Raw genomic sequence first — 21,194 nt, forward strand, 5'->3', positions numbered from 1 at the left:
CACAAACAAAGCAGCTAAAGATGGAGGTTAAGGCCAGTCGACTGCTTCCAGGTAAGCCGCCCTTGTAGTCCCTGGGATGAAATAGGGCAGGCACCAGAGGCCCTGGGCTGGTCTGCCCTAGTTTTGTGGGTTCCTGTCAGGTCCTCAGAGTTATTTAGCATAGTTTTGGGTGAGATCAGTTCACATAGAGTGCAGTATAAATACCATCCCCAATGTGCCAAGAAGCAGTTCACGAGGTGTGCCCTCACCACCAGCCCACAAGTCACGCTGATGAGCTCCGCGTAACCTCACCTTGAATTAGTGAACTGCGACTTGAAAACCATCCTTCAAGTGTGTACAATTTTTTTCATTTTTTTATTTTGAAGAGACACCTACTTGAGAGAATTCCTCTCTGGAATTTAAGAAATAATGAATGTGGACCTCACCAGCCCCTGGCCTTTTCGTAGTTCATAATGAAAACAAATGTTCATTTTTCCTTTAAAACTGTCTTGAGCTAAATGATACTGACGCTTTCAATTTTTAACATCATAATCAATAAAGGCTGCTTATGCACACTTTGCAAAACCATCAGTTTAGAAGTTTGAAAAAAAAATCTGCATATGGCTGCAGCTTGCTGGCTGGAACGCTCTCGCACTAAATCTTCTGAGTTAAAGTTTTACTGGTGTGTTATGAGTAAAAATGCCTTGTCAGCCATCTGCCAGTTTTTCTCCTAACATCCATATTTCCAACCCTTGCTAAACATTGGGAGCATGCGGCCACAAGAGGCCACCTCTACAATTAAACAGCCAAGCGCAGCAGCAGAAGCAAGGGCATGTCATGAGAGAACTGTCTAGTATTAATTTTAAAAGTCCATAAAGACTAGCTCCGACCCGTCCAGGATGATAGACGGGCTGTGAAATGTATTAGAAACTGTTAACCCCAGGAGAGTAAGAAGAGGGCAGAAAAGCAAAAAGGGAGAGAGGAAAAAAAGGAAAGAAAGAAGGAACAGAAACAATCACAAACAATGCGCCAGTGTCAAAAGCTTCAATAAGTGCTAATCATGGCTGATTAATCAGTCTCTAATTCCACTGATCCAAAAAGGTTACAGAGTCAATTGTGTAAAATTAGCTCCTTCTCATGTGTCCCTCTGCATTTCGAGCCTCTGTCTGTTCATTTGCATCTTTTGCCAATGTTTACTAAGAATTCAGTTCATTAGCTCTTGAGCATAAAGTCAGAAATTGGAGGGGACTCTGCATTTTCTTGCTGAGAGTAGTGCTTAAAACAAATAGCATCACTTCCTCAAACATTTATAGATTAAACTAAATGGCATTAATTACCGTAAATCTCCTATTTGTGAGGAGAAAGAGGGGGGAAAGAAAAAAAATCCTCTTTCTCCATACCCACAGTTTCATGGCAGGATTGTTCCATTCTCATCTAATGTCTCATACAGTTGGGGGCAAAATGTTTAATCACAGAATTAACAGGAAGCGAATGGCAAGGGAAGCTAACAAGGCGTGCTGCAAGGAGGCTAGCTAACTTTTTATAGAGCCGTGTTTTGCAAAGCTCAGAAGCAGAAGGTTGCTTTTGAAAGCCCTTATTAAAAAGAGATCCCTGCCACATATGTAGAAGCTATCTTGGGAAATACCTGTTTTACCCGTGTTTGAAAATCTTGAAACCTGCCAAAGGGAGGTGGAGGAGCCAGCATGGGGCCTGGCTCAGGAAGTCTGCCCAGGGCCTCACAGAGGAAGCTGGGGATTGACATGGGAGAGGGGGAGCTCCTGCGTGTTTTCCAAAAGTGCATCTTGTGTGTTTCAGAGGAGAGAATGTGCAAGTCAAACAAGCGGAATGGTTTGTAGAGCAAGGGGGTAATCTTGCAAGAAGCCACACACCTTTCTGGGAAATGTGCAGAATTCTTGGTCCTTGGAAAGGACAAGACGCCACCTGTTCAGACTTCATTTACACCAAGGGTGTCGCACCTGCTCCTCTTTAGGAGACGTGGGAATGGAGCAGGAGTAACACCCCAGAGAGTCGTGTTGGCCTGGGAGGGACTAGAGCCTTCCGGAGCTCCCTGCTGTGTGCACAGCCAAGTATATTTTAAACAATGTGCTGGTGCTGATCAAACCCAGGGGGGCTGCTTGCAGAAGGCTGGCCACAGGCATTCACTCTGGATCTCTGGGTGCTCTCCCCTCCTCTAGCTTAAGTATATTCACATAGTCTGGTCCCTATGCCTCTGCTTCTATTTTCCTACATATTTTCTGCCTGAAATGCCTCTCATCCTACCCCCTGCCGACCTCTTCTTTCCCCAAATCTTAGCAAAGCATCAACGATGGAGGAATAGGTATTCCAAGTGGAAACCCTTAGACATTGGCCCCACCCTCCCAGAGCTCACATGGAGCAAGGGAATTCTAGATACATAAGGAAGTAATAACAATCAGATTACATGATGACAGCATCACCTCCTCCAGGGAGCCTCCTCTGATTTCCTCAGGCTGCATTCCTGTTTCTCTATCCTGTGTGTCTCTTAGCAAGGGACTTCCTGTTTTCCAATTATGGTTTCTGTTTCTATCTTACCTTCTGAGTGTGAGCCTCTTTAAAATTTTTTTTGTTTTGTTTTGTTTTGTTTTGTTTTTGAGACAGGATCTCTCTGTCACTCAGGCTGGAGTGCCATGGCAAAATCATGGCTAACTGCAACTTCAACTTCCTGGGCTCAAATGATCCTCCCAATGCAGCCTCCTGGGTAGCTGGAACTACAGGCATGAGCCACCATGCCTGGATAATTGCTTAAATTTTTTGTAGAGACAGGATGTCACTATGTTCGCCAGGCTGGTCTTGAACACCTGGGCTCAAGTGATCCTCCCTTCTCAGCCTCCCAAAGTGCTGAGATTACAGGTGTGAGCCATTATACCCAGTGATGAGCCTCTTAGGGATAGGACAATATCCCAAGACCAAGTTCATCCCCAGACCAAGTTCAGCGCTAGGACAAAATAGGTGTTCAATACACACTTGTTGAATGAATGTACCTCAGCAACCAGACCCTCATTTTGCAATGTGCTGTACAGACACTGGTCCTTTCCTTCTAGCTGTAAAATGTCATGACTCAGGACTGGGCCTCTGACCCCTCTGGTCCCAGGAATTAACAGGTTTGCAGAAGGTGTGGGGTATGTATTAATAAGATGTGTAGCTATTAATCCAGCGCAAGATGAGATGATTAAAGTGAAACCCACAGCAAGGTCCAGATTTGGGGAATAATGTGATGGAAAGTTATTTATTACCTCTATCTTCCTTTATGTCTGTGTATCTGCCCATTGCTAAATACAAGCATCTTGAGGGCAGGACTATCTTGTTTTCTTCCTGACCCTAAAATCCAGGACAAGCCTGACTTGCAGTAGATACCTACAAAGTATTTGCAACGGAATCAGTGGGTAGGCTTGGGGCCTAAAGCACAAAGCCCCTTTCTTATATTACAGCAAATCAAGGATCAGAGTGTCTAAGCCTCCTGGTGCTTCTGTGCCCATGTAAACATACCTGTATATCCGAAGGTGAAAGTCATTTATGTCAAAGTTATGCGTGGAAATCCCTTAGGATGGTATTTTGTTCGAGACCCACAGTGGCCTCCCAGTTGGGTGAGCAAGCCATTTTTCCCTCCCGTGTAGGGTACACCGTTGAATCTCGGGAGGAATATTAGAAGTACTAGCTTGCCTTTATGATCCTCGTTGTATTTTTAAAAATATGTCTTTTATTTTGTAAAATGTAATGCAATGTAGTGAGACATTCCCATCATGGGACTGAGAACAACTGAGGGTGTAACTCCAAGGTCACATCACCCATCATCCTCACCCTGGGTGAGGTGAATGTCAGCATCCAAAGTCCCTGCACTGCTAAAGCAGGGTCTCCTATAGTGTCAGTAAATCTCCTCTGACTGCCCAGCACTCACTTACTCAGAGAAACCACAGAGGCTCAGGTCAGCATTAAGGACTCAAGTGGGTGGCTTCTGAGCCCAGCCTGCTGTTTCTAGACCCTCCTTAGGCTCACACCAGGTGGGTGCCCGGGCAGAGCTAGGGTGGGCTGGCACCCGAGAAGGAAGGGCGGGAGGCTCCTTAGAGTGAGCTCCTCGGCTCGCCTCTGCTTCCTGATTCATCATGTTTTTTTATTAGCTCTCTTTTCTCTGATAAACCTTTGCAGAAGAGGCGCTCTTGGAAACAGCTGGAGCAAGTCCCTTCAGCAGGTGGAGTTTGGCAGACAGGTTCCCAGATCCAGCCACCAAATCGCTCAAGCTCCCACTTCAATGAGGGGAAAAGAGAGCTGCAACATAAAGCAGGCTCTGCTTTCCCACCTCCTTGTTTAACTCACCCAAGAATAAACGCAACAAGCTGAGCGTGGAGAGGCTTCTGCTCTTCAACAATGCAGTGGGTCCCAGACACCCCGTTTCTACCAAGGAGATTATTGTATTTATTTTATTTTATTTTATTATTTATTTATTTACTTTTGGCAAAAATTCTTCTTGAGCTATCTCTTACTTTCTTTTTTTCTTTTCTTTTCTTTCTTTTTTTTTTTTTTTTTTTTTTGAGACGGAGTCTTGCTCCATCGCCCAGGCTGGTGGAGTGCAATGGCGCAATCTCAGCTCACTGCAGCCTCCACTTCATGGGTTCGAGTGATTCTCCCGCCTCAGCCTCCCTAGTAGCTGGAATTACAGGCACTTGCCACCTTGTCCAGCTAATTTTTTATTATTAGTAGAGACGGGGGTCTCACCATGTTGGTCAGGCTGGTCTCGAACTCCTGATCTCAGGTGATCTGCCCACCTCGGCCTCCCAAAGTGCTGGGATTACAACCATGAGCCACAGCGCCCAGCCCTCTGTCTTTCTTTCTTTGCTGTCTTTTTTATGTTTTGTCTATTCAATGAGGGAGTGCAGAGAAGGCTTTGCTTGGAGCAGACACCTCTATGCATTCTCCTTTCTTGCCTGAACTTTCTCCCGCTTTCTGCACTCACTCTGTCCTCCTTCTCATTGGCTTCAACCTGCAATCCAATGCAAAAGAAAATGGGAAAATCAAGGGCTTTCTTTTCCATTATTTAATGTCTTGTTTTTAGATTTTTAAAATTCTGACCTGAAATTTGAAAAGACATTGATACAGCACCAGTCATATTCTGTTTTAAATTCTCATCAGAATTTGTACTCATGTCGGGGCAAAGCTATGAGGAGATGGCCAAGGAGAAGTGCTCAATGCCCCCAACCCCAGCTTTTCTTCCCCAAGACAAAGTTTGGGCTCCATTTCCTTATTTCTTTCCATTTGTGTTTTTGCTTTTACATGATGATTGTGGGAAGTGGCTACAATCAGTGACAACCAGCAAGGTAGGATGCTGCTGCCCAAAGCCACAGCTGACCCAGAAAGACACTCCCAGATTATTGGCAGCAGCGGTATTTTAAGAATTTATAGAGTGGAGGTAAAAAGGGCTTTCTACACTATGAAGTGGGCGAGTTGGTCTCACTCTGGGCGGGAAAATTTATTTCAATTTGCATGCCAATTGTGATGGATTGGTAGTAATGGCCTGGAATGCTGAATTCAGGAGGGTTCACTGGCTATGCCTGTGCTGAGCAGAACAGTGGCCTCCCAGGGCCAGTGACTTTGGCCACTGAGCTAATGGGAAGGAAGGTCCCTACCTATTTTCCTTCTGGGGCTAGAATCTCCGAGCTCATTTTCAAATCTAGGCAAGGCATTCCAAAATCAAGAAACACTCCATAAGTCCATACCAGATACAGTAATCAACTTATTTAGCTTTCTCTGAGCCATCGTTTTGGCAAATTGAATACTCTATGGAAATTGGTTTTTTTCATGGGACTTCACTGCCTCCCTCCCTCACCCCCTTGCACTATTGCTGTAAAGGATGCTGAGATATCAGAGTCAAGCATTCAGTTGTTTCAGTTTCTTTGATGGTGATTAGCAAAATAGAATATGTGTATCCTTCAAGGGGAGATACAATTCCATGAATGACGATAGTTGCATTTTCTTTGACATCTTTGTAGCTGCCATATCCATTTGCACCACAACCTGTATACACATTTAAAAAAAGACAAAAGGAAAAAGGTAAACGATCATGAGATGTATTTCCTGTAATATTTAATAATCACATTGAAACACTGACATGCATTGCGCTGCATTTACAAACCTCTGTTTCCTTTGAAAATTACACCCTAGCATTTAATTCACCAAAATAACTCATTTTATACAGCACAACAATGTAGTAAAATAACTCATCTCGAATATGTGGATATGAATAGATTTAACACATCTGCATTGAACAAAATGAATTAATCTAAAAGCCGAGAAACTGCTGTTCTCTTTCGAGAGTTACCGATTATTTTACCATTCCCTTCAGTTTACTTGTTTGTTTTTGTTAAATTACTTTTGGAATTAGGAAATGAGGAAAGCAGAAACACTAGTTAGGTTTTTCTCTACTTGGAATGGAGAAACGGGACATAAATAATCATTTGCATTATACCTTATTTCTTTAAAAATTATATTTACAATTGTGCAGAGACCAAGGAGAGGCCTCTGTTCACTGTGGGCTTCTGTTTAATCTTTGGAAAATACTGTATTTCCATTACAACCCTCTCCCAAAAGAAGTCTAGATATTAAAATTATTTTTTGAAGCTGACTGTAAAGTGCTAAAAACAAATCAGAGTTCAAGTGCATTTCAGGGCTCCCCCCTGGGAGGATATTCACTTGTAGACGTGGAGCCCGTCTCCCGAAAGAGGAGATGCATATGTGTTCACTGCATCTGAATTCTCGCACACGGGGCTGTGGGCTCCACAGTGCAGCATTCCCAAGGCTCAGTGGTTATTTCTGGCCCTGGCCGTCTGGGCAGGCACAGGCATCACGAGGAGAAGAGCCCATCTGTGCTGATGGTTTGGGATGGAGTGTGGTGACCCAAACCCACAGCTGGAAAGATAAACCCAAGCACACTCTTCATGTGGGGCACAGGTGCCACAATCTGGGTGGCTCTGACAGTTCCTGGGTCCTGGAGGGCCTCTCTGATGCAATTAACTTTGAGGGCAACCGGCAGGATCTACTGGGCCCCATTCCTACTAACTCTACAGCAAATGCAGCCAGAAGGTCTCCCTTCCATGAGCTGGGACAGAAATGGAGACCACCTTTGTGCGGAGGGATATAAAAAGGCAGAGTCCCCAAATCTTCAGATGCAGAGCCTTCAGGTCAGAGTTTGCAAATGGATCCTATGTCCCCTTTCTTGCAGAAACCACATTGGGATGTAGCACCCACCACTTCCAGTTTCAGGCTCTGCAAAATGGAGACAGTTTGTGCAGTCACTTAAGTGCAGAATCTTTATCTTCACGATTTCTTGCCTCAGACATATACTCTACTATACTACTATAGCTTCCCTTGTAGGAACTTTTATCAGTACTCCGGTCTCTCTGGAGTCTTTCCAAAGCCTTCAACTTAGTTTTCATAGGGAAAAAAAAATCTAATTTTTCACCTCTTATTTGATCAATGTGCACAATTTATTAAATTGCATAATGACAATTACAACTAAAGCAGGTTTGGGAATAAACTCATCTGATTCCTGGGAAATATTCAGCTCACCCAGTGCACCCCCCCTCCTACCCCAACCTTGAGCACTCAGGACACTATGGGCCTCATCATCCAGGGCATCTTCTAGAAGGAATGGTGGCTCTGGCTACCTCTGAGTTGGTCAAGAGAGGGCTGGTTAGGGGAGTTTCTAAGATCGACCAGATATGATCTAGGAGATATTCAGGCTATGGGTAGGCAAGGTGGGGACCATGTGACGGGCTTTCCTACTAAGGAGTTTAGAGATTCTCCTGGCAGTAATAAGGAACTGCTTATCGTTTCTGGGAGAGAAGGAAGCAATTTCATCCAATTTGCCGTCTGGAAAGCTCACTGGGTTGCAGTAGGGAATGGACTGGATTATTGTTTCTTAGCCTTTCTCCCGCCCTTGTAATGGGATTTTACACCCATAGCTTTCGTGAGGTGTGTGCCTTTGCCATCTCTCCCAGTAGAGTAGGTGGCTCTTTGTCTTTGGACTTAGGCATGTGGCTGCTTTGGTCAATGGATGTTGGGGGGACATGAGGGAACCACAGGCTTTGCCTGTGTCTGGGGGACTTGGCTGTCACTCTATCACTCCTGCAGTCTGCCAGGAAAGGAACATGCCCAAGGTGGTCACGTTCCCTTCAGCCTGAGCCTTGGAATGAGAGGTAAAGGAGCAGACCTGAATCTGACTTGCAGCCTGGAGCAAAGTTGCCGTATCCGACCCACAGGCCCAGTGAGAAATGCCCGTTTGCTGTGAGCTTTGTAACAAACAACCCTCAGCCCTCAATGAGGATGTGGGTTGCAATTGAGCCATATTGCAGATGGCTGATTAATACAGAACTGGACAAGACTGAGTGGGATGGGAAGCAGGAAACCCATCACTCTCTCTCACCCAGTTGGGTGACTTCAGGATAGTCCGCGTCCCTCTCCAGGACCCATTTTCTTGTTGGCAAAGTAAGGAAGTCATAGTAGGTGATCTCTACGGGCCTTGCCACCTCTCAGGGGCCATAACGGAGCAGAAGAGGAGATAGAGCATCACCTTGCCCTGGCTGGGGTACAGTTTCTACAGGAGGGATGATTTCCGTCACTTTCACCAGGAAAGGGTCTTGGTCTTCACGTCGTTTGCAGTCCACAGGATGCCAAGACCCATTTGGCAGTACAAAAGGACATCCTGAAACAGCACATCCCAATGTCCCCAAAGTCACTGCAAGTCATTCCCATCACCCCGTCCCGTCCCCCGGGCTCCACTCACACAAGGTGAAATCTTGCATGCATGTATCCTAAATTCCTTGCCCTAGCTCCCTTCTCTGGTGCTGGGGGCAGAGCATTCCTAGAGAAGGTCTTAGGGTCTGTGGGGGGCTCCTTACCAGGCAGGAGACTTTCTGCCAGGAGCCAGGCCTGCAGGGAGCAGCTTTGGGGTGGGATTTTCGAGGAAGAGTGATTATCAGGGCATCGGTAATAAGGGGGGTGGGAAGAGCATGAGAAGAACAATGGAGAGGCCTCCCCGGTGCAGTCACTCTAAGGTATGTCACCTTCTCCGATGCCAGGGCCACTGTCAGAAAGGCAACTTCATCTAACTAATTAGCAGGGTTTGCCACTTTACAAATCTGCCGCGGCTTTCTTGGCACGAAACAGCCGCGGAGGCAAAGAGCTGTAGGAACCCATTAAAAATCACAGGGCTGAAAGAAAAGGAGGGCAAGGGGGAAATTTGAGATAAGAGGTGGGGGAAGGAAGGAAATTTCCCTGTACCAGGCCAGCTGCCGGCTCCCCTCTCTCTGTCCACATGCAAGCAGGAAGTGGTTAAAGTGATGGGAAGGGGAACCCACCCTCCTCTTGAGCTGGGCCTCTGATCTCTGCATCTGGTTTTTCCTCTTGAAGCACTCTCTGGTTTTAAAGTGGCTTTGAAGGAAGACTCTCCTGTGGACTGCAACCTGTCACTGCACCCTGTCATCCATCCAGTAATTAAAATCTGACTGATTTACTGACTGGTACCGACCATCATAGCTCTGGAGTTAGCTGATGTTCATCTTTCCCAAGGCTAAAGTTACTTGGTGAAAAGAGACCGCTTGCTCCCAAGCTAAGCTGTCATACAGCTGCAGTGGAGACCATAAAGATAGCTAACAGAGCCCTCACCAGCCATCTTTAGTTTATTTTATTCTAATATTTATCACCTCCCAGCAAATGAACATAATACAGACAAGTTAGGGAGAGGTGTGCAGGCTGATTTGTGGGTCCGGTGTGGCAGGCCATCTAAACACTGGACGGGCCACACTGAAGAGCAGGGCATCTCCCCGAAGGGCTGGCCAACCTACAAAGACTTGTGGGTTGGGGAAGAGTCTTGAGCTCTGAAAAGTGAGGCTAGCTGTGTGCATGGGAAAGGGTAAAGGAATCAGGGTCCCATCCAGGGGTGCTGAGTTTCCTGAGCCACCCAGCAGCCTGTGGGGTGACCTATCTTCTCCATCCTGTCCTTGCATAGTCTTGACTTTGCTATCACAGTTCCGGGACGTGGCCCATCCTGGCCCTTCTTGTGTAAGGTTACACCAGAGCTCCTGTGGGAGGCAGCCTCTCCCCACATCTCCAGAGCTGCTAGACCTGGGCTCTGCCCCCATGAACTCCCTGCCAGCCGGCTCCTTTTCTCCTCTTCTCTCAGGATCACTTATTCATTCATTTTGTGAGCGTCTGCATGGGGCCAAGTTCCACGCTAAGCACAGGGGTGAATTTGTATAGAACAGAACAGGCCTGATCCAGGCTTTGTGGGACTCACAGTTCGGTGGAAAGATGGAAGCATTAGACACATAAAGGCACAAAGAAGTGCATATTAATAGTGGAGGCAAGGGCTCTGAAGAAGCAGAGTGAGGGGAAGAGAGACAAGAGTCCACAGACGGAGCACCATGCAAACTGAGGAAAGAGTGTGGAGCTGCTCTCTGGGCAGGGCACAGACTAGAGAGAGGCAATGGGGTGCCCGGAGAGCAAATTGCAAAGAGACTTTGCACTCAGGGACCAGCACATGCAGGGCTGCAGCTGAGAGTGGGTGCCCCCTTCAATTTTCATTCTGGGAAGCTCACCCACCTCAGTCTATCTTGGCACAAATTGGATAATTGTATGTCTCTCTCTCTCTCCCTCTCTCTCTCTCTCTCTCTCACTCTCTCTCTCTTTCTTTTGGAGACACAGGGTCTTGCTCTGTTGCCCAGGCTGGAGTGCAGCGGTGCAATCATAGCTCACTGCAGCCTTGAACTCCTGGGCTCAAGCGATCCTCCTACCTCAGCATCCCAGGTAGCTGAGACTACAAGCATGCACACCACCACACCCAGCTAATCAAAATATATATATTAGGTAGAGACAGGGGTCTCCCTATCTGGGAGTTGCCCAGTCTGGTCTCAAACTCCTGGCCTCAAGTCATCTTCCTGTCCCGGTCTCCCAAAGTGCTGGGATTATAGCCGTGAGCACTGGGCATGGCCCACTTCTCATTTTTGCTGAAGCAAAGAGGGCTCCAGTACTCTCTGCAGGTCACTGCGTCTCCCAGCTGACAGCCATCAGCTCGCATGTCTTATAAATCACGAAACCACACAGTGATGCACTCATACAACTCCCTGGGCTGTGGGTATTAATTGTGCATGATGATGTTTACAGAACAAACCAAAAATCCATATAACATTACATATATATATGTATCATTTTTTAAACAAACATCATTATAACGTTACATGTCATATATATGTATGTGTGCATGCATGTATATACTTTTTAAAACAAACACAATGGCTGTTTTGTCAAGAAAATTAAGTGGGGGGATGTAGGGAGAAACATGGGGAGAACGTACAAGAGATAAGGAGTTTCCGGGGTCTTTGTTCCCCTTGCCCTCTCTGCTTGGGGAGGACTTCTGTCCTGCTGTTTCTGGGACAAGCAGTCTTTGGAGGATGGAACTGGGGTTGGGAATACCTTCAGGGCTTGGAGTTGGATCAGATAAATCCAGATGAGATAAACTAATATGAGATATTACAGACCATCTGGAAGGACTAGGAAGGGTCACAGAGCAAGTCCACAGAGAGCAGACAATGAGAAGGAGCAGGTTTTCTGACCCTTCCCGGGGCTCTCCTCACCACCCTCCAAAACTAAGGGTTCATTTCTATTGTGTTTGCTTCCTGTTGTCCTTAAGTCAGAGCAGTGATTCTAGGTCCTCGTGAAACCCAGAACATTACGCCTCCTAAGCTAGACATCAATAGGAAGGACACCTAAAAACTGGAGACCACAGTACTTCTCCACCACCAAATATGCAGCCTTCACAGTCCCAACTACCTCCTTACATGCTGGTGCAAATCGGGCGTTCCACTCAGGTCTGAGGGTGCCACCAGCCACCTGCACACCTGCGCATGCTCAGTGGAGCTCAGTGGAGCTCACCGGAGCAGTCGTGTCTGCCAGACAAAAGCTATGGCTCTTGGGAAGAGAGGGAAGATAGCGACACAGATCCAGTTACTAGCAGGAAGCCCAGTTTGTTCTCCCGATTCAGTCCCAAGCATCCCAAAGGACTTCAACTTCTGGGGAGCAAAGGGCCTCCTTCACCTGGTTAGAAAACCTCGAGGGAAGAAGAACAGCGGGTGAGAAGAGTGGAAGGTGGTGTTTTTATTTTGAGTAAATCAATTGGCTAATCAGGGTGGGATTTTCCATCTGGGAGTTGAAAGGGCAAAAGGAGAACAGTTAATTTTTCAAAACTTCACTTTAAAATACAAGCCCCCTGTTTGTGAGCTACATTTGATGCAGAGTCTAGGCGGGACATCAAGAAGTGGCGTCAGGGCCAGAACTAGCATAGTTTAAAAGAACAGCAAGTAAATTAAGACAATTAGGCATTCTTAATGCCCAGGGATTTTTTTTGTGTGTGTGTGTACATTTTTCTTCCAAAAGAGCCTGCTTGCAAGACAGAATTTCTTCTTATTTTCTTTCTTTCATTTCTTCTTTTTTTTGCATTCACACTCTGGATTTTTCCTTGTATTTCTCTTGGGGAATGCATAGTTTGGTCCTGACTAGGGTGGGTACCAGGCTGTCGCTGGTAGGGAGCCTGTCCTGTCCTAAATGGCTCTCAAATGGAGTGGAAGGGGGAAGGGGGAAGGGGAGGACTTTTTAAAGGTACAAATTCCACCAACTCCTGGAGACCCCAGGTAGAGGTCAGTAAGGTTAAGTGAGATAAAAAAGTGAAAGCATTTCTGGAAATTCTTAGGAAGAAAGGTGCTAGATAAATTCTAGCTACATTTATGACTATTTTTATGGCTTGGCTTGTAACACTGTGGGTGGTCCCTGGACACGGGGCTCATTCATTCAGCTCACAGGAATCATGAGGTTGAGATCTGCAAACAGATCTGGCTCTGGAATGGTGGATGGGATGGGGAGATGGCTCCAGCAGACACCTCACTAAGGGGGCAGGAGGTCACTGTAAAACAGGAAGATCAGCTGTCCAATGATGGAAGGCACATTTCTCAAATGTTTCTGACCGTTACCCATCTAGACTCAGGCACACATTCACCCTCCCATTCCCATTCTTCTGTGGTGAGAGATCTGGTGATAACAAATGGAGAATAACAAAATCAGCCAGTTGCTAGTAACACACATAAACTGTGTATTATTTACTCTATGAGAGATGAAGATAAGCATATACACATTTGGTTTTATTTTATAAAACAATGCCTCATAAAGTAAACACTAGCCCAGCAATTTTATTGCATTTACCTTGATAATATGTTGCAAGCCATTTAAAGAGAACAAATTCACTGACAGACCATCACCCATGAAGTATGGCTATACAAGCACAACAGTTTGGGGATAAAGTATAAATTGGTTTTAGCATTAGGAGCAAAGATGATTCATACGGAAATCACAATGCAAACAGGTCTTCAACTTAAATAACAAATTTTAATTTAGAGGTCGATAATACTTTTAGCCAAAAATGTGTTCCTGTCTACATTGTAGGGTTGAGGAACAAACTGCAGCAAACTGGTAAGGATGCAAAGTTTAATGTAATTTGTAAATTGTAAAAGCAAGATCGGCAGCTTTGAAATATCACGATCTACTCAAGAGACCAGTCATAGAATGACCTTCCAGAAAGTCCTATACTCTGTATGGGGCCAGGTGCACCAGAAACTCTGCCCTGCTGCCATCCAGACTTGGTAGAAGAGTTCTCCACATACTCTAGTATATTCTTAATTTTTATTTATGAATTCTTCATTACATTAACCCAAGAACCTTCCTAATGGATTACTAATAAGTAGCTCTAGGTAACATGTGAATCTAAAAGTGGTTGTAATTCACCTGTAATTCACCAGCCCAGGACAGGATTCATCCCCTCATGTGGATAGTGGTGGCCTTAGGGCAAAAGTAACAATTACCGAAAAGAAAGTGTAAACTAAGGGTTATAGGAGTTTGGAGGAAAGAGGATACTTTTGGCTGGGTGGAAGATGGGGAGCAGGGGATAACAGGGATAATAGCTTAGGGGAAGGGCCCTCCAGGAAAACAGACCCCCAGGAGCAAAGTCTTGGGGTGAGAAATGAACAAGGGGAGAATGAGTGACCCTGAGTGGCTGGAGAGGGGTGTGTACAAGAGGAAATCATGGGCTGGAGGACTGGTCATTATCTAATGGATGATGCTCTGTCTATGGAAATCCAGCCAGGCACAGAGGCTCATGCCTAAAACCTCAGCACTCTGGGAGGCCAAGGTGGGAGGATGGCTTGAGGCCAAGAGTTCAAGATCAGCCTGGACAACATAGCCAGACACTGTCTCTACAGAAAATAAATGAATAAATAAATATAGTTAGCCAGACATGGTCATACATGCCTGTGGTTTTAGCTACTCAGGAGGCTGAGGCAGGAGAATCACTTGAGCTGGGGAGGTCAGGCTGCAGTGAGCCATGATTGTACCACTGCACTCCAGCTTGGGCAACAGAGCAAGACCTTGTCTCAAAAAGAAAAAAAAAAAAAGAAGAAGAAAGAAAGAAAAGAAAAGGAAAACACAAACTAGAAATCCAACTAAGTGGTATATTTGCAACATAAACTCTTCTGATTCTGACACCAGGAACCACGTTCATGCAGAAAGCTTTGCTTAGTTACTGCCGCACCCCAAGAATAACCTGGGCACAACTGCAAGTGGACATGCACAGTCCAGAGATACAGTGAAGATTTAGTTTCCCAAAGTGATAGACTTTCCTGTCCAGAAAACCTGCAGCAAGATCCCAGTATAAGGATCGATAGGGACTATAGCTTAGGAAAACCTCTTTAAGGAATATAAGGACTTTAAAATCTCATTAAAAGGATTACACCTTAGGAAACCCCACCCCCTAACTCAGGGCCCAGGGGAACTTCTTGGAAAGAGTTTTGTAGAAGCAATTACTTTGGGGGCTTCAGCTCCTTCCAGTCACACAGCAGATTAGGGGTGGACACAGAGTTGGAAAAGAGAAAAATCAAATAAATGAGTGGGAATTAGAGGGTTTTTTTTCTTTCTTTTTTTTTTTTTTTTGACATGGAGTTTCGCTCTTGTTGCCAAGGCTGGAGTGCAATGGTGCCATCTCGACTCACTGCAACCTCCACCTCCCGGTTCAACTGATTCTCCTGCCTCGGGCTCCCAAATAGCTGGGGATTACAGGCATGTGCCACCAGGCCCGGATAATTTTGTGTATTTTTAGTAGAGATCGGGTTTCACCCTATTAGCAAGGATGGTCTCGATCTCCCGACCTCAGGTGATCCCCCCGCCTTGGCCTCCCAAAATGTAGAGCTCTTCTTTAAAGTCTTGTTCAATATATTGAAATTTTTCCTGTATCAAACCAGGAACCTTGGAATAAAGAACTCTGAGTGAATCCAGTCTCTACCAAGTACTGGCTGCATACAGTTGGGAAAGATAGCAACACCATCGGTACTTTGTTCTCTTTCCTACAAAATGGGAGGGATGGCAACCACCCTATAGGGTTCCAGAGAAAAGCAAAGGGACTAAGGGGTGAGGAGGTCTTCAGTACACTCAAAGCCTAATGCAAATGATGGGTGTGCTCATGCCTATGTCAGTACACCTCTCAACAAAGAGAAAGAAGAATACTCCAGGGCCTTTTAAGCACACACTGGATCCTTGTCCTGGACTTAGAGAACAAGGCAGGGTAGAGGTAAGACCTGAAACCACAGTCCCCATTATGAGCTCGCCTCCTAAGGACATGCTGTTGCTTCCCCAGAATACACAAAGACACAGCTGACTTATGATGCCTTGATTTATTTTTAAAATTTATTTCTATTTTATTAATTTTTATTTTATTTTGAGATAAGTTCTGACTCTGTTGCCCAGGCTGGAGTGTAGTTGTGTGATCATGGCTCAATGTAGCCTCTACCTCTTGGGCTCAAGAGATCTTTCTACCTCAGCCACATGACTTGCTGAGACCACAGGCATGAACCACCATGGCTGGGTAATTTTAATTTTTTTTTTAAATTTTCGTGGAGACAGTCTCTACCAAGTACTGGCTGCATACATTAGGGAAAGATACCAGGGTCTGGCTATGTTGCTGGTCTTGAACTCCTGGCCTCAAGCAATCCTTCCACCTCAGCCTCCCAAAGTCCTGCAATGACAGGCACTGGCCTAGTTATTTATGTATTTATTTATTTTTTTTTTTTAAGAGAAAGGCCACAACAGAAGGGCTGTGTTTTCAACCTTATTAAAAAGCAGGCAAGGGACATGAACAGACACTTTTCAAAAGAAGACATACATGTGGCCAGCAATCATATGAAAAAAAAAAAAAAGCTAAGCATCACTAATCATTAGAGAATTGCAAATCAAAACCACAATGAGATACCACCTCACATCAGTAAGAATGGCTATTATTAAAAAGTCAAAAATAACAGATGCTGGAGAGGCTGTGGGGAAACAGGAACATTTACACACTGTTGGTGGGGTGTAAATTAATTAAACTATTGTGGAAAGCACTGTTGTGATTCCTCAAAGACCTAAAACCAACTATCATTTGATCCAGCAATCCCATTGCTGGGTATATACCCCAAAGAATATAAATCATTCTGTTATAAAGACACATGCACACAAATGTACACTGCAGCACTTTTCACGACAGCAAAGAAACGGAATCAACCTAAGTGTCAATCAATGGAAGACTGGATAAAGAAAATATGGTGCTTATATGCCGTGGAATACTATGTAGCCATAAAAGAGAAGATCACATCCTTTGCAGGAATATGGATGGAACTGGAGGCCATTATCCTTAGCTAAGTAACACAGGAACAGAAAACCAAATACCACATGTTCTCACTTATAAGAAGAAGCTAAGTGATGAGAACATATGGACACATAGAGGGGAACAACACACACTGAAGCCTATCAGAGGATGGAGGGTGGGAGGAGGGAGAGGATCAGAAAAAATAACTAGTGGGTACTAGACTGAATAATCTGGGTGACGGGGCCGGGTGAGGTGGCTCACACCTGTAATCCCAGCACTTTGGGAGGCCAGGGCAGGCAGATCACCTGAGGTCAGGAGTTCATGACCAGCCTGGCCAAAACAGTGAGACTCCATCTCTACTAAAAATACAAAAATTAGCTGGATGTGGTGGCACATGCCTGTAATCCCAGCTACTTATGAGGTTGAGGCAGGAGAATTGCTTGAACCCGGGAGCTAGAGGTTGCAGTGAGCCAAGATGGTGCCACTGCACTTCAGCCTGGGCCACAGAGCTAGACTCTGTCTCTAAATAAATAAATAAATAAATAAAATAATCTAGGTGATGGAATAAGATGTACAACAAACCCCCATGACACGATTTACCTATGTAACAAACCTGCACTTGTACCCTTGAACTTAAAAAAAAAAGTTAAATAGAAAATAAATAAATAAAATAAAATCTAATGGAAAATTGGATAAAAAAGAAAGAGCAGTGTTTTCAACAACACTCCCCCATGTTATCACACTGAGCATTGTTTCCAAATTGATTATGTTCTTTAATCAAACACCACACTAGCATTCTTAAAAGCACTGAGAACAAAGCACTAAAGAGTTCTCTGCCACAGTTTGGCTTTTCTTTCAATGTCTAATCAAATCTCACATATTTCCTACTGTCTCCCCAGAGGAGTTCTGGGAACTTTTCTTTATATTCTCATCACATAACCCACCCCAAGAGACAGGAAGGGAGAAAGGAGGATGGAAGAAACGAAAGGAGAGAGGAAGGGAGGAAACAGGATAAAGAAATGCAGATGGGAGAAGGTTAGAATGAAGGAGCCAGCATCACTGGACTGAATGTCCCTGCATCCCTGATCTGTTCAGTGGGACACAGGCAGCCAGGGAGGCAGCCCAGGAGCCTCAGAGACCGCTGGTAGTGGTGTCCTCCTCAGCACTTCTTCCCTGCCTCCCGCACACCTGAGGGTCAGGCCCTTGCATCTAATTGGACAGCTGGGTTGGTGAACGTGGCCTGTTCTGCCAGCCGCCTCGTCGGCCACAGTGACAGCTGTATCACTTCCCTGATGTGAGTGGGCGCTGAGAAGCGTTGACACATGATCAACTTCCCTCTAATATCCTTCAACCAACCTGACAGTTGTCCGGCAGGGGCTAGTCAGCTCGCCTGCCAGCCCTCACCGAGGCATTGTGGGACAGCTTCCTAAGGAATACAGTCAGGAGAGACTTCAAATGAGGCCTTTGTTTTCCCCTAGTGTGCTAACTGGGGAATTGATTCAAATCCTGAGGGTGATGGCTATGATAGGGGCTGCTACATAGGGCCTGGAGGAATGTAGGTAACAGCAAATGATAGCATTTGAGAGGGCCACTCCATCTTGCTCTAAGACTAGCTGGGTGGTCTCGTCGATGCAGGATGTGGTTCAGAGGAAGACTTCTATCAGGGATTTGCAGTTCCATAGCAACACACGCTTTTTTTTTTCTATTCTCACATATCTTTCCATCATGTAGTTTAAGGTGGAAGAAACACTCTCTCGTACCAGGAAAAGTTTGGAAGCCTCAAAGTTGTAAGCAGAAACGTCTCTGTCTTTCCCGATGACAGCCACAGTCTGATGGCTCTATCCTGCTGAGCATCTTGTCATCACCCCTGCCAAGTCTCTTAGCCAGGGGGCCCCTCTCTCTCGCTCACCCACTAGCAGGAAGGACAAGGCTAAGTGGGGATCCAGGAAGCATGGGTTCACTTAAGGCTCTGTCGCTATGCTAAGTGAGGCCAGAGACATCTTGCAGCATTGATGAAGAATCTGGCATCCAGTGACTGTCATTCTTTCCTCTGGTTCTGACATTCTCCAGATGTCCATGAGCAGGAGACGAGGACAGCAGCAAACTCCAGCTTAACATAAGATGGAGAGGCTGTTGGGATTTCTGAGGGACCAGAGATCTTTTGGCTGCAACTCAGAGGAGGGTAAGAAAGGAGGGCTGTTACTACCGGGATGTTGGGGTGGCTCAAGGAACACATTCGCCAGAATGCAGCTGGGCTTCAAGAACAACAGAGGCCAGACATTCCAACACCACCAGTGGCCTCTGTCTCTTATTCCTTTTTAACTCTGAATGTTTGCTTCTCAGCCCTACTCCCTGTTGTTGCCATTTAATTTTTCTTTGTGGTTAAAACAAAACAAGTTGCCAGCACCCCCTAAGCTTCAATAACTACAGTGCAACTTAAAAAGAAAATAATGGCCTCTTTCACTCAGTTTCACGTTTAAGGTTCTCAAGAAAGCACATGATTGGCTCAGCTTGATTGTGGGTCCTTTGCTGAGCCAATAAACTGTGGCCAGGGATTGTGTCATGTGGACAAACATGGCTGCTCCTTGGGAAGCAGGTAGATGGTGGGTGGTGAGAGGCGTTCCCAGAAGCACAAAGTACTGTGCTGAGGAAGCCATGGCTGACCCATGCTGGATGGCTCCTATGCCCAAGGAGGCTCTATAAGAAAGTTCACTGATGTCAGATCAAACATGGAATTTGATCTATGTAAGATTTGGTTTAAGGTTGTGATTGTGGTTAAAATGTCATTTTGCTCAGCCTGTGAGACATAATTCAGAAACATTACCCTCCAAAGAAGCCAGTGAGATAACTAAAAATTCAGCTGACACCCATGAAGAAGGAGCAGAAATGACTCTTTGGGGATCATTAAGCAAACCTGTCTCCAGACCAGCTGGGGCAAACTCAGAAGGCAAGAAGCCAAGTTCATTCTCCCTGTGGTCCTTGCCTGTTTTCCATCCTGTCTTCTGTTCTCCAAGTGGGCCCATGGAGTCAGCTGGCTTCCAGCCCCATGAGTTCCCGCAAATTGAGTAGAAGCCAGCCCTGTGGTCAATGGCTGTGGCAAGAGGCCTATGGAGGCTTCCATGACATGCTAAAAAAAAGGCTGGCTTAGTTAGCAAACATGGCCCTGGGGAGAGGACTTGTGGATTTGGGATCTCACCCTGGCTGCTCCAGTGCAGAGAGGAACTCATGGAGAGGCCGGCAGAGGAAGTGAGCAGAGCTAATGTTCAATTACGTGCAGGCAAGCTGTGATCAATGTGCAGAGAAGAGGCCAGGGGACCAGGCTGGGAGAGCTGCCAACCGCACCTGTGAAGGAATGGTCAGGAACCCTCCCACCCTGGGATGCATTCCTGGCTTTTACCAGTTATTCAGGTTCTAAAGAAGTCACCCTTGAGAACTGTTTGTGACCACTTCAAAATTACAAGCTTCCCACAAAAGTCTGATTTATGAACAATCTGTTAGATATTTGATTCAGAACACCTTTTCGGAATTAATTAATCTATCTGAAGGGGGGGAAAAAGGTGTTTTCTTTTTAAACGTCAAGTTTCTGTCGTGGCCATTTTCTATGCAGAAGAAAGAATCTTTTGATTAAAGTCAGAACTTCTCCCAATTGGGGTTACCCAGCACCCAAGGAAGGGCATCCAATCTAAGCTCTTCTGATGACGTACTTGGGCTTGGCATGTGCCTAATTACCAGACACAGGTCCTTTCATTTCTGTCTGAGTTCTGGCACGGCTGAAGAACATTAAAACACTGCTCAGAGTGTGCCTTCATCCTTTCTGTGATGGGGTGGCCACCAACCAGCCCGCCAGCACAGGACTTTGGGATGGCACATGGCAGCTTGCATTCGTCTCCACGACACACTGTTGGGCACTGTCAGGGGATCAGACTGGTAGCTGTGCAGGAGGCTGCTTGCTCCGATAATTAATTTCCTCTCCAGCCAGCCCCTTCTACCAGTTGTACTACCCAGAACTCTGCCCTAGCTTTGTTTGCCTGCAGCTCTCCCTACCATCCCACCTGCCTTCTCCAGCCTCCCCGCTCCACCCTGGCCTATCCTCCCCCCAATTCCCTGGACGCCAGCCTTCAGCCCTGGCATGTCTCCTGTCAGTCACCCTCTGAGGCCCAGGCTTCTCTTCACTTTCCTGACCCTACACCGGCAGACATTTCCTGGTGACAGCTTTGTGATTCCTCTCCACATCTCCACCGTGATGTCCTGAAAACACGGGGCTCTAAAGAGGCCTGCAGGCAGACAGCAGGAACCGAGAATCAAGCCCAGGCCCCTTGTCATTCAGTCCGATTCTGCCGGCCACTGGCAGCCCCTGGTTTGAAGTTGGAGGTTACAGTGACTGCTATTCCTCTCTCCTCTTCTCCCTCTCTCCTCCACATCCGCACTACACAGAACAGGTCTCCTTGTTTATCAGCTTGAATTGGGAATG

At 45.9% G+C, this 21,194-nt stretch overlaps 1 long non-coding RNA gene across 1 annotated transcript in view; it reads left to right on the top strand.

Annotated features, from left to right (window-relative positions):
• LOC124900621 (uncharacterized) overlaps positions 1-21,194 on the top strand; it is a 25,306-nt gene continuing 4,112 nt past the window's right edge. The window contains exons 1-2 of the long non-coding RNA XR_935901.2: positions 1-51; positions 18,794-18,905. This is a non-coding gene — a long non-coding RNA (uncharacterized LOC124900621). The remainder of the gene's footprint in view (positions 52-18,793; positions 18,906-21,194) is intronic.

This window comes from Homo sapiens, chromosome 19 (assembly GCF_000001405.40).
Source record: "Homo sapiens chromosome 19, GRCh38.p14 Primary Assembly".
NCBI classification, from domain to species: domain Eukaryota; kingdom Metazoa; phylum Chordata; class Mammalia; order Primates; family Hominidae; genus Homo; species Homo sapiens.